This window comes from Homo sapiens, chromosome 16, assembly GCF_000001405.40.
Source record: "Homo sapiens chromosome 16, GRCh38.p14 Primary Assembly".
NCBI lineage: Eukaryota > Metazoa > Chordata > Mammalia > Primates > Hominidae > Homo > Homo sapiens.
In genome coordinates, this window is record NC_000016.10 from 31274947 (window position 1) to 31291712 (window position 16766).

General features: G+C 42.6%; 1 protein-coding gene across 8 annotated transcripts in view, besides 1 other annotated feature; it reads left to right on the forward strand.

Annotated features, from left to right (window-relative positions):
* Positions 1 to 16766, forward strand: part of ITGAM (integrin subunit alpha M) — a 72903-nt gene that overhangs the window by 14972 nt on the left and 41165 nt on the right. For all 8 annotated transcript variants that reach the window (XR_950796.1, XR_007064878.1, NM_001145808.2 and 5 more), the window contains 4 exons: positions 603 to 753; positions 1725 to 1798; positions 1974 to 2103; positions 3021 to 3163. Coding sequence is in view for 6 of the 8 variants with exons in the window: in NM_001145808.2 (NP_001139280.1) it covers positions 603 to 753; positions 1725 to 1798; positions 1974 to 2103; positions 3021 to 3163 (498 nt within the window). In the remaining 2 variants the exon portion in view is untranslated. The remainder of the gene's footprint in view (positions 1 to 602; positions 754 to 1724; positions 1799 to 1973; positions 2104 to 3020; positions 3164 to 16766) is intronic.
* Positions 9090 to 10289: an enhancer, noted in NCBI's record as "MED14-independent group 3 enhancer chr16:31295357-31296556 (GRCh37/hg19 assembly coordinates)". NCBI's record gives its function as "activates an origin of replication core promoter dependent on BRD2, BRD4, P300/CBP and CDK7 cofactors, and independent of MED14, by STARR-seq in HCT116 cells {active_cell/tissue: HCT116}" and the evidence as "EXISTENCE:reporter gene assay evidence [ECO:0000049][PMID:35650434]".

Sequence of the window (16766 nt, forward strand, 5' to 3'; positions counted from 1 at the left end):
TATCCTTGTTGGCAAAGTGCCCTGTGAAATATAGAATGGAGCCTTTTTCTAAGATGGAGTCAGTTATGTCAAGGGTGCTCTGTATACAATGGGCTAAAGCAAGACTCATGTCTGAGCCCAGAGGCAATGAAGGGGGCAGATGACTCCACCAAGAGCAGGAGGGCACAGCAGAGTGCTGGGGGAAAGGGCTTGGATACAGGAAGAGGCAAGGAGTCAGGATCATCAGTGTAATCAAACTACTACAGCACCTGCATGACACAGAAAGCGATATCACCATGGATACATGCCTTGGCACGTAGGACATACCTTCATATAAAGAAAAAGGCTCCCCTTCCTCTAGGGGGAGGTCAGCTCCATACCAGGAGACGTGGCACAGCAGATGGATCAGCAGCCGGGTTTCTGCCCCAACTTGCTTCCTTGGCACAGTGCCTTGTGCAGTGTACAACCTGCCCAACTATACCTGGCAACCCTGTCCCAGGGACCTTCTGATGCATTTCCTCACTTGATAAATAATGGTTCAGACTAGTTTCCTGCAGAATTGTCTTTGCCAGATGATATTGCTAGCCTCACACCATGATTTAGCCTCTGTTCCTTGGTAACAGGTGGGAGATGCCTTCCGCAGTGAGAAATCCCGCCAAGAGCTTAATACCATCGCATCCAAGCCGCCTCGTGATCACGTGTTCCAGGTGAATAACTTTGAGGCTCTGAAGACCATTCAGAACCAGCTTCGGGAGAAGATCTTTGCGATCGAGGGTGAGTCAGGCATCTGTGTTCCCAGAGCAGCTCCAGAGGCAGCCCCCCACCCCAGAACATAGTCCCCTCTAGAATCCAGACCTTCCTAACCCTTGGTATCCCCCAGCATCAACTCTCTCCACTTCCTACAGCTCCCAGTCCCAGCCTCACTTGGTCAATTCCTTTGAAGTCAAAGAATCCATACTTTTATCTGTAATTTTGCAAATCTTGGCTATAGGCTGGTAAATTGGAGTATGGGGGAGTCAAATCCCACCCAGTATTTTAACAAAAATTTGGATGTGTTGCCAGCTGTCGTCTGTTCGGTTCTCTGTTGTATCCCAATTGCCTAGAATAGTGCCTGGTACTCAGAAGGTGCTCAATAAATGTTTGTTGAATAAAAGGAATTTAGAAATTGGGGGATTTCATAAACAGTCTGGGTTTATGGCTTATCTTGAAAAGCTGGAAGATTAGACACCTTGAAGACCGCATTCCCACTTGGCAGGATGTTGCTGGAGGTGAATGGCTGCCATCCTTCTAAGAGGGACGTATGCTGTCCAGCTTGACACAGATCCTGTCGGAGTCTCCTTTGTCTGTGGCCACCAGAGCACTTGGGTTTTCAGTACCTGTTCTAGGTTCTTCTGCTTTCTTTTCTTTTCTTTCTATTTTTTTTTGAGACTGAGTCTTGCTCTATTGCCCAGGCTGGAGTGCAGTGGTGCGATCTTGGCTCACTGCAACCTCTGCCTCCCAGGTTCAAGTGATTCTCCTGCCTCAGCCTCCTGAGTAGCTGGGATTACAGGCGCATACCACCACGCCCAGCTAATTTTTGTATTTTTAGTAGAGACGGGGTTTCACCATGTTCACCAGACTGGTCTCTAACTCCTGACCTCAAGTGATCTGCCCATCTCAGGCTCTCAAAATGTTGGGATTACAGGCGTGAGCCACCATGCCCGGCCTTCTGCTTTCTTTAATATAGAAACTTCTCCTCTTTACAGGTACTCAGACAGGAAGTAGCAGCTCCTTTGAGCATGAGATGTCTCAGGAAGGCTTCAGCGCTGCCATCACCTCTGTAAGTGGCCCTTCATTAAATTGCGGGGGTGGGGCAGGGGGTAGCAAGAAGAGATAGGAGAGATGTGGGGGTTTGGGGACTCTTCTCTGTGATAGATACTTGGGAAGTAGCTCTGTGAGGGGCAGCGGTTGTCCCTTCTTCCTTCCTCATCAACCCTGTTCTACACCTTTCCCAGAATGGCCCCTTGCTGAGCACTGTGGGGAGCTATGACTGGGCTGGTGGAGTCTTTCTATATACATCAAAGGAGAAAAGCACCTTCATCAACATGACCAGAGTGGATTCAGACATGAATGATGCTTACTTGGGTAAGTGGGGAGGGCAAGGGTTACTCTAAGAAGGGGTGAGGATTTGGCATAAGTCAACTAGCATAGATGTCTGGGTCTTGAATGAATGGGATACATATGTATGGGATACTAGCTATTAGTCTCTTGGGATAGCTTTAAAGACAGAAACTTCAATTTTTTTTTTTGAGGTGGAGTTTCTTTCTTGTCGCCCGGGCTGTAGTGCAATGGCACTCGGCTCACTACAACCTCTGCCTCCTGCGCTCAAGCGATTCTCCTACCTCAGTCTCCTGAGTAGCTGGTATTACAAGAATGCACCACCACCCCTGGCTAATTTTTTTTTTTTTTTCGAAATGGGGTTTCGCTCTTGTTGCCCAGGCTGGAGTGCAATGGCGTGATCTTGGCTCACCACAACCTCCGCCTCCCAGGTTCAAGCGATTCTCCTGCCTTAGCCTCCTGAGTAGCTGGAATTACAGGCATGTGCCACCATGCCCAGCTAATTTTGTATTTTTAGTAGAGATGGGATTTCTCCATGTCGGTCAGGCTGGTCGCGAACTCCCAACCTCAGGTGATCCACCTGCCTCGGCCTCCCAAAGTGCTGGAATTACAGACGTGAGCCACCGTGCCTGGTCTTTTTTTGTATTTTCAGTAGAGACCGGGTTTCACCATGTTGGCCAGGCTCGTCTGGAACTCCTGACCTCAGGTGATCCGCCTGTCTCGGACTCCCAAAGTGCTGGGATTATAGGTGTGAGCCACCGCACCCGGCCAGAAACTTCTAAATTGAATTGTAATTATGTTCATAAAGAGAAATATAGCGTAGGGATCAGTTACCCCAACACAGCAAGCGTGGGGCTGCCCCAGTGCCCCTACTCAAGGGGTGGGTCTGCATGGTGGAGGAGGGGGCAGGGAATGCACTTCACCTCTCAGACCCCCACCTTCAGGTTATGCTGCCGCCATCATCTTACGGAACCGGGTGCAAAGCCTGGTTCTGGGGGCACCTCGATATCAGCACATCGGCCTGGTAGCGATGTTCAGGCAGAACACTGGCATGTGGGAGTCCAACGCTAATGTCAAGGGCACCCAGGTGAGTGCGGTTTGTGGAGCATGAATGTGCAAACAGAGGCGCCCTGGGGTCTTAGAGATTCCAGGAGGGGCATTCAGATGACATGCATGGCCCTCTTGTAAAGGAGGCTTTGGGGGCTGTGAGCTGGGGAGTTGTGGGATCAGCTTAGCATTTGTGAATGCTGTGTCCTCAGCTTTTTTAACAATGATAAATAACAATGCTTGCCTGTACAGAGCTCTCTATGGGTCTTTCTGTACTCAGGGCTGGTATTCAACCCGTATATAACCAGGATAGCCATGTTAGTTAATAAAATATTGAAACAATTCCGTATTCATTGATAAATGGTGGATTCCCCCTCACCCATGCACTCTGGTGCTTCCCCAGTCTCTGTGGGCTTCCCCATGATCCAGCAACTATGAGGTCAGGCAGGACACTTCACACACCCTCTAGGATCTGCTCCAGCCATGCCCCTGCTCAGTACCTGTGCAGCTCCAGCTGTTCATTATTTTGAATATCACCCCTGCAAAAGCAGCATGGTCACATATTATGTGGGAACTAGCGAGTGAGGCAAAACTCTCTAGTCAAAATCATTCTTGCAAATTCCTGAAATAGGACTGCACCCATGATATGGTGCCTATAGTTCTTTATTTTATTTTTATTTTATTATACTTTAAGTTCTAGGGTACATGTGCACAACATGCAGGTTTGTTACATATGTATACATGTGCCATGTTGGTGTGTTGCACCCATTAGCTCGTCATTTACATTAGGTATATCTGCTAATGCTATCCCTTCCCTCTCCCTCCACCCTACGACGGGCCCTGGTGTGTGATGTTCCCTACCTGGTGTCCAAGTGTTCTCATTGTTCAATTCCCACCTATGAGTGAGAACATGCAGTGTTTGGTTTTCTGTGCTTGCAACAGTTTGCTCAGAATGATGGTTTCCAGCTTCATCCATGTCCCTACAAAGGACATGAACTCATCCTTTTTTATGGCTGCATAGTATTCCATGGTGTATATGTGCCACATTTTCTTAATCCAGTCTATCGTTGATGGACATTTGGGTTGGTTCCAAGTCTTTGCTATTGTGAATAGTGCCACAATAAACATATGTGTGCGTGTGCCTTTATAGCAGCATGATTTATAATTCTTTGGGTATATACCCAGTAATGGGATGGCTGGGTCAAATGGTATTTCTAGTTCTAGATCCTTGAGGAATCGCCACACTGTCTTCCACAATGGTTGAACTAGTTTACAGTCCCACCAACAGTGTAAAAGTGTTCCTATTTCTCCACATCCTCTCCAGCACGTGTTGTTTCCTGACTTTTTAATGATCACCATTCTAACTGGTGTGAGATAGTATCTCACTGTGATTTTGATTTGCATTTCTCTGATGGCCAGTGATGATGAGCATTTTTTCATGTGTCTGTTGGCTGCATAAATGTCTTCTTTTGAGAAGTGTCTGTTCATATCCCTTGCCCAGTTTTTGATGGGGTTGTTTGATTTTTTCTTGTAAATTTGTTTAAGTTCTTTGTAGATTCTGGATATTAGCCATTTGTCAGATGGGTAGATTGTAAAAATTTTCTCCCATTCTGTAGGTGGCCTGTTCACTCTGATGGTAGTTTCTTTTGCTGTGCAGAAGCTCTTTAGTTTAATTAGATCCCATTTGTCAATATTGGCTTTTGTTGCCATTGCTTTTGGTGTTTTAGTCATGAAGTCCCTGACCATGCCTATGTCCTGAGTGGTATTGCCTAGGTTTCCTTCTAGGGTTTTTATGGTTTTAGGTCTAACATTTAAGTCTTTAATCCATCTTGAATTAATTTTTGTATAAGGTGTAAGGAAGGGATCCAGTTTCAGCTTTCTACATATGGCTAGCCAGTTTTCCCAGCACCATTATTAAATAGGGAATCCTTTCCCCATTTCTTGTTTTTTCAGGTTTGTCAAAGATCAGATGGTTGTAGATGTGTGGTATTATTTCTGAGGGCCCTGTTCTGTTCCATTGGTCTATATTTCTGTTTTGGTACCAGTACCATGCTGTTTTGGTTACTGTAGTCTTGTAATATAGTTTGAAGTCAGGTAGCGTGATGCCTCCAGCTTTGTTCTTTTGGCTTAGGATTGACTTGGCAATGTGGGCTCTTTTTTGGTTCCACATGAACTTTAACGTAGCTTTTTCCAATTCTGTGAAGAAAGTCATTGGTAGCTTGATGGGGAAGGCATTGAATCTATGAATTATGTTGGGCAGTATGGCCATTTTCACGATATTGATTCTTCCTATCCATGAGCATGGAATGTTCTTCAATTTGTTTGTGTCCTCTTTTATTTCATTGAGCAGTGGTTTGTAGTTCTCCTTGAAGAGGTCCTTCACATCCCTTGTAAGTTGGATTCCTAGGTATTTTATTCTCTTTGAAGCAATTGTGAATGGGAGTTCACTCATGATTTAGCTCTCTGTTTGTCTGTTATTGGTGTATAGGAATGCTTGTGATTTTTGCACACTGATTTTATATCCTGAGACTTTGCTGAAGTTGCTTATCAGCTTAAGGACGTTTTGGGTTGAGACAATGGGGTTTTCTAAATATACAATCATGTCGTCTGCAAACAGGGACAATATGAATACCCTTTATTTCTTTCTCCTGCCTGATTGCCCTGGCCAGAACTTCCAACACTATGTTGAATAGGAGTGGTGAGAGAGGGCATCTCTGTCATGTGCCAGTTTTCAAAGGGAATGCTTCCAGTTTTTGCCCATTCAGTATGATATTGGCTGCGGGTTTGTCATAAATAGCTCTTCTTAGTTTGAGATACGTCCCATCAATACCTAGTTTATTTAGAGTTTTCAGCATGAAGGGCTGTTGAATTTTGTTAAAGGCCTTTTCTGCATCTATTGAGATAATCACGTGGTTTTTGTCTTTGGTTCTGTTTATATGATGGATTATGTTTATTGATTTGCATATGTTGATCCAGCCTTGCATCCCAGGGATGAAGCCCACTTGATCATGGTGGATAAGCTTTTTGATGTGCTGCTGGATTCAGTTTGTCAGTATTTTATTGAGGATTTCTGCGTTGATGTTCATCAGGGATATTGGTCTAAAATTCTCTTTTTTTTGTTGTGTCTCTTCCAGGCTTTGGTATCAGGACGATGCTGGCCTCAAAAAATGAGTTAGGGAGGATTCCCTGTTTTTCTATTGACTGGAATAGTTTCAGAAGGAATGGTACCATCTCCTCCTTGTACCTCTGGTAGAATTCAGCTGTGAATCCGTCTGGTCCTGGACTTTTTTTGGTTGGTAGGCTATTAATTATTGCCTCAATTTCAGAGCCTGCTATTGGTCTATTCAGAGATTCAACTTCTTCCTGGTTTAGTCTTGGGAGGGTGTATGTGTCCAGGAACTTATCCATTTCTTCTAGATTTTCTAGTTTATTTGTGTAGAGGTGTTTATAGTATTCTCTGATGGTAGTTTGTATTTCTGTGGGATTGGTGGTGATATCCCCTTTCTCATTTTGTATTGCGTCTATTTGATTCTTCTCTCTTTTCTTCTTTATTAGTCTTGCTAGCGGTCTATCAGTTTTGTTGATCTTTTCAGAAAACCAGCTCCTGGATTCATTGATTTTTTGAAGGGTTTTTTGTGTCTCTATTTCCTTCAGTTCTGCTCTGATCTTAGTTATTTCTTGCCATCTGCTAGCTTTTGAATGTGTTTGCTCTTGCTTCTCTAGTTCTTTTAATTGTGATTTTAAGGTGTCAATTTTAGATCTTTCCTGCTTTCTCTTGTGGGCATTTAGTGCTATAAATTTCCCTCTACACACTGCTTTAAATGTGTCTCAGGATTCTGGTATGTTGTGTCTTTGTTCTCATTGGTTTCAAAGAACATCTTTATTTCTGCCTTCATTTTGTTATGTATCCAGTAGTCATTCAGGAGCAGGTTGTTCAGTTTCCATGTAGTTGAGCGGTTTTGAGTGAGTTTCTTAATCCTGAGTTCTAGTTTGATTGCACTGTGGTCCGAGAGACAGTTTGTTATAATTTCTGTTCTTTTACATTTGCTGAGGAGTGCTTTACTTCCAACTATGTGGTCAATTTTGTAATAGGTGTGGTGTGGTGTTGAAAAGAATGTATATTCTGTTGATTTGGGGTGGAGAGTTTTGTAGATGTCTATTAGGTCCGCTTGGTGCAGAGCTGAGTTCAATTCCTGGATATCCTTGTTAACTTTCTGTCTCGTTGATCTGTCTAATGTTGACAGTGGGGTGTTAAAGTCTCCCATTATTATTGTGTGGGAGTCTAAGTCTCTGTGTAGGTCACTAAGCACTTGCTTTATGAATCTGGGTGCTCCTGTACTGGGTGCATATATACTTAGGATTGTTGGCTCTTCTTGTTGAATTTATCGGTTTACCATTATGTAATGGCCTTCTTTGTCTCTTTGATCTTTGTTGGTTTAAAGACTGTTTCATCAGAGACTAGGATTGCAACCCCTGGTTTTTTCTGTTTTCCATTTGCTTGGTAGATCTTCCTCCATCCCTTTATTTTGAGCCTATGTGTGTCTCTGCACGTGAGATGGGTTTCCTGAATACAGCACACTGATGGGTCTTGACTCTTTATCCAATTTGCCAGTCTGTGCCTTTTAATTGGAGCATTGAGCCCATTTACATTTAAGGTTAGTATTGTTATGTGTGAATTAGATCCTGTCATTATGATGTTAGCTGGTTATTTTGCTCGTTAGTTGATGCAGTTTCTTCCTAGCATCGGTGGTCTTTACAATTTGGTATGTTTTTGCAGTGGCTGGCACTGGTTTTTCCTTTCCATGTTTAGTGCTTCCTTCAGGAGCTCTTTTAGGGCAGGCCTGGTGGTGACAAAATCTCTCAGCATTTGCTTGTCTGTAAAGTATTTTATTTCTCCTTCACTTATGAAGCTTAGTTTGGCTGGATATGAAGTTCTGGGTTGAAAATTCTTTTCTCTAAGAATGTTGAATATTGGCCCCCACTCTCTTCTGGCTTGTAGGGTTTCTGCTGAGAGATCAGCTGCTAGTCTGATGGGCTTCCCTTTGTGGGTAACCTGACCTTTCTCTCTGGCTGCCCTTAACATTTTTTCCTCCATTTCAACTTTGGTGAATCTGACAATTATGTGTCTTGGAGTTGCTCTTCTTGAGGAGTATCTTTGTGGTGTTCTCTGTATTTCCTGAATTTGAATGTTGGCCTGCCTTGCTAGATTGGGGAAGTTCTCCTGGATAATACCCTGAAGAGTGTTTTCCAACTTGGTTCCATTCGCCCTGTCACTTTCAGGTACACCAATCAGACGTAGATTTGGTCTTTTCACATAGTCCCATATTTCTTGGAGGCTTTGTTCATTTCTTTTTACTCTTTTTTTCTCTGAACTTCTCTTCTTGCCTCATTTCATTCATTTGATCTTCAATCACTGATACCCTTTCTCCACTTGATTGAATTGGCTACTGAAGCTTGTGCATGCATCACGTAATTCTCATGCCATGGTTTTCAGCTCCATCAGGTCATTTAAGGTCTTCTCTATGCTGTTTATTCTAGTTAGCCATTCGTCTAATCTTTTTACAAGGTTTTTAGCTTCTTTGTGATGGGTTTGAACATCCTCCTTTAGCTCGGAGAAGTTTGTTATTACCGATCATCTGAAGCCTTCTCCTCTCAACTCGTTAAAGTCATTCTCCGTCCAGCTTCGTTCCATTGCTGGTGAGGAGCTGTGCTCCTTTGGAGGAGAAGAGGTGCTCTGATTTTTAAAATTTTCAGCTTTTCTGCTCTGGTTTCTCCCCATCTTTGTGGTTTTATCTACCTTTGGTCTTTGATGATGGTGACATACAGATGGGGTTTTGGTGTGGAAATCCTTTCTGTTTGTTAGTTTTCCTTCTAACAGTCAGGACCATCAGCTGCAGGTCTGTTGGAGTTTGCCGGAGTTCCACTCCAGACCCTGTTTTCCTGAGTTTCACCAGTGGAGGCTGCAGAACAGCAAATATTACAAAACGGCAAATGTTGCTGCCTGATTCTTCCTCTGGAAGCTTCGTTGCAGAGGGGCACCCAGCCGTATGAGGTGTAAGTCGGCTCCTACTGGGAGGTGCCCCCCAGTTAGGCTACTTGGGGGTCAGGGACCCACTTGAGGAGGCAGTCTGTCTGTTCTCAGATCCAAGCTGCATGCTGGGAGAACCATTACTCTCTTCAAAGCTGTCAGACAGGGACATTTAAGTCTGCAGAAGTTTCTGCTGCCTTTTGTTCAGCTATGCCTTGCCCCCAGAGGTGGAGTCTACAGAGGCAGGCAGGCTTCCTTGAGCTGCAGTGGGCTCCACCCAGTTCGAACTTCCTGGCCGCTTTGTTTACCTACTCAAGCCTCAGCAATGGTGGACGCCCCTCCCCCAGCCTCACTGCCACCTTGCAGCTTGATCTCAAACTGCTGTGCTAGCGTGAGCAAGGCTCCATGGGCGTGGGACCCTCTGAGCCAGACGCGGGATATAATCTCCTGGTGTGCCATTTGCTAAGACCATTGGAAAAGTGCAGTATTAGGGTGGGAGTGTCCCAATTTTCCACTTACTCTCTGTCACGGCTTCCCTTGGCTAGGAAAGGGAATTCCCCAACCCCTTGCACTTCCCAGGTGAGGCGATGACCCACCCTGCTTTGGCTCATACTCTGTGGGCTGCACCCACTCTCCTACAAGCCCCAGTGAGATGAACCCAGTACCTCAGTTGGAAATGCAGAAATCACTTGTCTTCTGCGTCACTCACGCTGGGAGCTGTAGACTGGAGCTGTTCCTATTCGGCCATCTTGGAACCTCCTCTGCCTATAGTTCTTTAAAAAAAAAAATTTCAGGCAGGGCATGTTGGCTCATGCCTGTAATACCAGTGTAGCAGGACAAGCTGCATACAAAACCCCTCAGACACCGAGTTAAAGAAGGAAGGGCTTTATTCAGTCAGGAGCTACAGCAAGACTCACGTCTCCAAAAACTGAGCTCCCCGAGTGAGCAATTCCTGTCCTTTTAAGGGCTTAAAACTCTAAACAGGTCCACGTGAGGGGGTCGTGATCGATTGAGCAAGCAGGAGGTACGTGACTGAGGGCTGCATGCACCAGTAAACAGAACGGAACAGAACAGGACAGAGATTTTCACAATGCTTTTCCATACCATGTCTGGAATCTATACATAACATAACTGGTTAGGTCATGAGTTGATCTTTAACCAGACCCAGGGTGCAGCACAGCCCGTGGATTTAATTTCTGCCTTTTAGTTTTTACTTCTTTCTTTGGAGGCAGAAATTGGGCATAAGACAACATGAGGGGTGGTCTCCTCCCTTACCAGCACTTTGGAAGGCTGAGGCAGGTGGATCACCTGAGGTCAGGAGTTTGAGACGAGCCTGGCCGATATGGTGAAACTCTGTCTCTACTAAAAATAAAAAATATTAAAAAAAGTTAGCCAAGCGTGGTGGCGTGTGCATCTGTAATCCCAGCTACTCGGGAGGCTGAGGCAGAAGAATCACTTGAACCTGGGAGGCAGAGGTTGCAGTGAGCTGGGATCTTGCCACTGCACTCCAGCCTGGATGACAGGGCGAGACTTCATCTCAATTAAAAAAAAAATTTCAAGTTTTAGATTTGGGGTACATGTATAGGCTTGTTACATGCATACATTGCATGTTGCTGAGGTTTGGGCTGCAGATCCCATCACCCAGGTAGTGAGCATAGTACCTGTGGTGGTTTTTCTTTTTTCTTTTTCTTTTCTTTTCTCTCTCTTTTTTTTTTTTTAGAGACAGGGTCTCACTATGTTGCCCAGGCTGGTTTTGAACACCTGAGCTCAAGCAACGTTGCCCAGGCTGGTTTTGAACTCCTGAGCTCAAGCAATCCTCCTGCCTTGGCCTCCCAAAATGCTGAGATTACAGGTGTGAACCACTGCGCCTGGCCCAATAGGTGGTTTTCCAACCCACACCTCCTGCTCCTCCATCTGGTAGTCTGCAGTATCTATCATTCCCATCTTTATGTCTATGTATACCCAGTGTTTAGCTCCCACTTATAAGTGAGAACATGCAGTATTTGATTTTCTGTTCCTGTGCCAATTCACTTAGGATTATAGCCTCCAGCTGCATCCATGTTGCCGCAAAGGATGTGATTCATTTTTTTTTTTATGGTGGCGTAGTATTTGATGGTGTATATGTACCACATTTTCTTTTCCAATCCACCACTGATAGACACCTAGGTTGATTCCATGTCTTTCTATTGTGAATAGTGCTGTGATGAACATACGAGCATGTATCTTTTTGATAGAACAGCTTATTTTCTTTTGGATATATGGCCAGTAATGAGATTGCTGGGCTGAATAGTAGCCCTGTTTTATATTCTTTGAGAAATCTTCAACCTGCTTTCCACAGTGGCTGGACTAATTTACATTCCCACCAGCCAACAATGTATAAGCGTTCCTTTTTCTTCATTGCCTTACCAGCATCTGTTATTGTCTTTTTAATAATAGCATTCTGACTGGTGTGAGATGGTATCTCATTGTGGTTTATGATTTGCATTTCTCTGGTGATTAGTGATAATGAACTTTCTTTTTCAAATGTTTTTTGGCTACTTGTATGTCTTCCTTTGAGAAGTGTCTGTTTATGTCCTTTACCCACTTTTTAATGGGGTTATTTGTTTCTTGCTTGTTGATTTGTTGAAGTTCCTTATAGATTCTGGATTTCAGACCTTTGTCAGATGTGGTTTGCAAATATTTTCTCCCATTCTGAAAGTTTTCTGTTTACTCTGTTGATAGTTTCTTTTGCTCTACAGAAACTCTTTAATTAGTTCCCACTTGTTGATTTTTGTTTTTGTTGCAGTTGCTTTTGAGGGCTTAGCCGAAAGTTCTTTGCCAAGGCTGCTGTTGAGAAAGTATTTCCTAGGTTTTCTTCAATGATTTTAATAGTTCGAGGGCTCACATTTAAATCTTTAATCCATGTGATTTAAGTCTTTAATCACATTTAAATCTTTAATACACCTTGAGTTGATTTTTGTATAAGGTGTAAGGAAGGGGTTCAGTTTCATTCTTCTGCATATGGATAGCCAGTTATCTCCACACTCTTTATTGAATAGGGAGTTCTTTCCCCATTGCTTGCTTCATAGTCTTTATTGAAGATCAGGTGGTTATAGGTGGGTGGCTTTATTTCTGGGCTCTCTGTTCTATTCCGTTGGTCTATGTGTCTGTCTTTGTACCAGTACCATACTGTTTTGGTTACTATAGCCTCATATTCGGATAGTGTGATGCCTCCAGCTTTGTTATTTTTGCTTAGGATTGCTTTTGCTATTTAGGCTCTTTTTTTGTTCCGTATTAATTTTAGAATAGTTTTTTCTATCTGTGAACAATGGCATTGGTAGTTTGATACAAATAGCATTGAATCTGCAAATTGCTTTGAGCAGTGTGGCCATTTTAACAATATTGATTCTTCCAATCCATGAGCATGGAATACTTTTCCGCTTATTTGTGTCGTCTCTGATTTCTTTCAACAGTGTATTTCTCTTTGTAGAGACCTTTTACCTCCTTGGTTAGCTGTGTTCCCAGGTACTTCATTTTTCGTTTCTGCCTGTAGTTCTGTGTGTTTTTAAAATTTTTGTCGGTGGTTCTCTTTGACTTGTAATTAATGCATTGTATGGGGATGAAACCAGTTTCTCCTGATACCTGAACAGCTTGTCATAATTCTTTGCCAATAGTCAAATTCTTCACGTGGTCTCTCTAAACACATACTGGCCATTGATGGTGTCAATGCCTGACATGTATAAGGGATGGGGTGGGGAAAAAAGTGTAGAGGAATTACGGGAAGTCAAGTGTGGATTGGATGCCACTTCTCTGTTTTCGGTGTGTGGTCAGGACCACATGAGGAAGGCTGGCTGGTCAACTCCCCCACCCCACACAAGTACACGCACATTACCATCAAGGGTGATAGATGCTTAAAGTGGGACAGTCTGGGAGTTATGAGAGCAAATGGGAGGGGCACCCACAGAAAGGCAGTATGGAAGCCTTCCTGGTGGAAGTGGCAGCTAAGCCAAGGCCTGAGGTGGAAGCACAAGAGAAGTGAAAAGGGGTGTGGGGAAGCAAGGGGCCAGAGGAGGGAGAGAGAATGGAATGGAGGGTCAGAATATGCGTATAGGGTGGTGGGAGGAGTGGTGGGAGAAAACAGGAAAGAAGGGTAGGTGTGGCTTATCCCAGACATGCAGGGCTTGTTCAATATCCCAAATACCAATATTGCAGAAATGGACAAGCTGATCCTGAAGTCCATATGGAAACAGAAGGGACCCATATATTAGACTTATACCTAAATGTTTCATGACCTTTGGCACTATTGTAAATTGTACTGGTTTTTAAATTTAAATTTCCAATTGTTGGAACAGAACAGAGCCCTCAGAAATAATTCCACATGTCTACAACCATCTGATCTTTGACAAACCTGACAAAAACAAGAAATGGGGAAAGGATTCCCTATTTAATAAATGGTGCTGGGAAAACTGGCTAGCCATATGTAGAAAGCTGAAACTGGATCGCTTCCTTACACCTTATACAAAAATTAATTCAAGATGGATTAAAAGCTTATATGTTAGACCTAAAACCATAAAAACCCTAGAAGGAAACCTAGGCATTACCATTCAGGACATAAGCATGGTCAAGGACTTCATGTCTAAAACACCAAAAGCAATGGCAACAAAAGCCAAAATTGACAAATGGGATCTAATTAAACTAAGGAGCTTCTGCACAGCAAAAGAAACTACCATCAGAGTGAACAGGCAACCTACAGAATGGGAGAAAATTTTTGCAATCTACTCATCTGACAAAGGGCTAATATCCAGAATCATCAAAGAACTCAAACAAATTTACAAGAAAAAAACAACCCCATCAACAAGTGGGTGAAGGATATTAACAGACATTTCTCAAAAGAAGACATTTATGCAGCCAACAGACACATGAAAAAATGCTCATCATCACTGGCCATCAGAGAAATGCAAATCAAAATCACAATGAGATACCATCTCACACCAGTTAGAATGGTGATCATTAAAAAGTCAGGAAACAACACGTGCTGGAGAGGATGTGGAGAAATAGGAACACTTTTACACTGTTGGTGGGACTGTAAACTAGTTCAACCATTGTGGAAGACAGTGTGGCGATTCCTCAAGGATCTAGAACTAGAAATACCATTTGACCCAGCCATCCCATTACTGGGTATATACCCAAATGACTATAAATCATGCTGCTATAAAGGCACATGCACACGAATGTTTATTGCGGCTCTATTCACAATAGCAAAGACTTGGAACCAACCCAAATGTCCATCAACGATAGACTGGATTAAGAAAATGTGGCACATATACACCATGGAATACTATGCAGCCATAAAAAAGGATGAGTTCATGTCTTTTGTAGGGACATGGATGAAGCTGGAAACCATCATTCTCAGCAAACTATCGCAAGAACAAAAAAACCAAACACTGCATGTTCTCACTCATAGGTGGGAATTGAACAATGAGAACACTTGGACACAGGAAGGGGAACATCACACACCAGGGCCTGTTGTGGGGTGGGGGAAGGGAGGAGGGAAAGCATTAGGAGATATACCTAATGTAAATGACAAGTTAATGGATGCAGCACACCAACATGACACATGTATACATATGTAACAAACCTGCACGTTGTGCACATGTACCCTAGAACTTAAAGTATAATAAAAAAATAAATTTCCGATTGTTTAGGGATATAGAAATACAACTGGCCGGGCCCAGTGGCTCACGCCTGTAATCCCAGCACTTTGGGAGGCCGAGGCAGGTGGATCACCTGAGGTCAGGAGTTTGAGATCAGCCTGACCAACATGGAGAAACCCTGTCGTTACTAAAAATACAAAATTAGCCAGGTGTGGTGGCACATGGCTGTAATCTCAGCTACTTGGGAGGCTGAGGCAGGAGAATCGCTTGAATCTGGGAGGCAGAGGTTATGGTGAGCCGAGATCATGCCATTGCACTCCAGCCTGGGCAACAAGTGTGAAACTCCATCCAAAAAAAAAAAAAAAAAAAAAGAAATACAACTGATTCTTACATATTGATCTTGTATCCAAAACAATCTTAGAAAAGGGGAACAAAGCTGGAGGGTTCACACTTTCCAATTCAAAACTTACAAAGCCATCAAGCCAGAAAGTAAATTAGTGGTTTCCAGGGGCTGGGGGTTGGACTGGGGATTGGAAATACTGCTAACAGGTAGAGAATTTCTTTCTGGGAAGATGGAAATGTTCTGGAGGTAGTGGTGATGATTACACAACATTGTGAAGGTACTAAAACCCAGTGAACCTTATACTTTAAAATGGTAAATTTTATGGTCTATACATTTAATCTAAATTATAAAAGCTACTTTGAAGAAAACAATGTGATTCACCATAACAGCAGATTAAAGAAGAAAAAACATGTAACCACCTGAACAGATATAGAACTCTAATTTGACAACATACAACATCGTTTCATGATTAAAAATACTCTCAGCCGACTAGGAACTAAAGGGAACTTCCTCAAGCTGAAAAAGAGCATTTACAAAAAATCTCTACCAGGCATTATACTTAAAAGTGAAAGAGAATGCTTTTCACCTAAAATTGGAAACAAGACAAGAATATCTACTTTTATAATTCCTATCCAACATTGTACTGAAAGACCTAGCCAATGCAATAAAGCAGGAAAAAGAAGAAAAAAAAATATAAAGAGGAAAGGAAGAAATAAAACCCTCTCTATTTGCAGATGATACAATTGCATGGAAAATTCCAAAGAACCTATAAAAAAGCTATGATAATAGGTTTTTTCAGTAAGTTCTCAGGATATAGGAGCAATGTATAAAAATTAGTTTTATTTCTATAATATAATTGAACAATTGGAAATTTAAATTAAAAAGTACCATTTACAATAGCATAAAATACCATGAAATATTTAGGTATAAATCAAACGAATCATGTACGGTAACTTTATGCTGAAAACTACAAAACACTAATGAGAGAAATAAAAGACCTAAATAAATGGAGAGAGACGCTGTGGTCATGGATTCGAATATTATAGTTCCAATATTGTTAAGATGTCAATTCTCCCTGGGTTGATCTACAGATTCAATGCAGTAAAAATCCTGGATAATATTCCATTGTGCACATGTACCACATTTTCTTTATCCATTCATCTGTTGATGGACACTTAAGTTGATTCTATATCTCGACTATTGTGAATAGTGCTGCGATAAACACGGGAGTGCAGTTATCTCTTCAGTATACTGATTTCCTTTCCTTTGGCAATATACCCAGCACTGGGATTGCTGGATCATGTGGTAGTTCCATTTTTAGTTTTCTTGAGGAGCCTCCATATTGTTCTCTATAGTGGCTTTACTAATTTACATTCCTACTAACAGTGCATGAGGGTTCCTCTTTCTCTGCATCTTTGCCAGCATCCATCATTGTTTGTCTTTTCGATAAAAGCCCTTTTAACTGGAATGAGATGATATCTCATTGTGGTTTTCATTTGCATTTTTCTGGTACACAAAGGAATATTATTCAGCCATAAGATGAATGAATCTTGTGATTTGCAATAACAGGATTGGAACTGGAGGACATTATGTTAAGTAAAACAACCCGGGCACAGAAAAACAAATATTGCATGTTCTC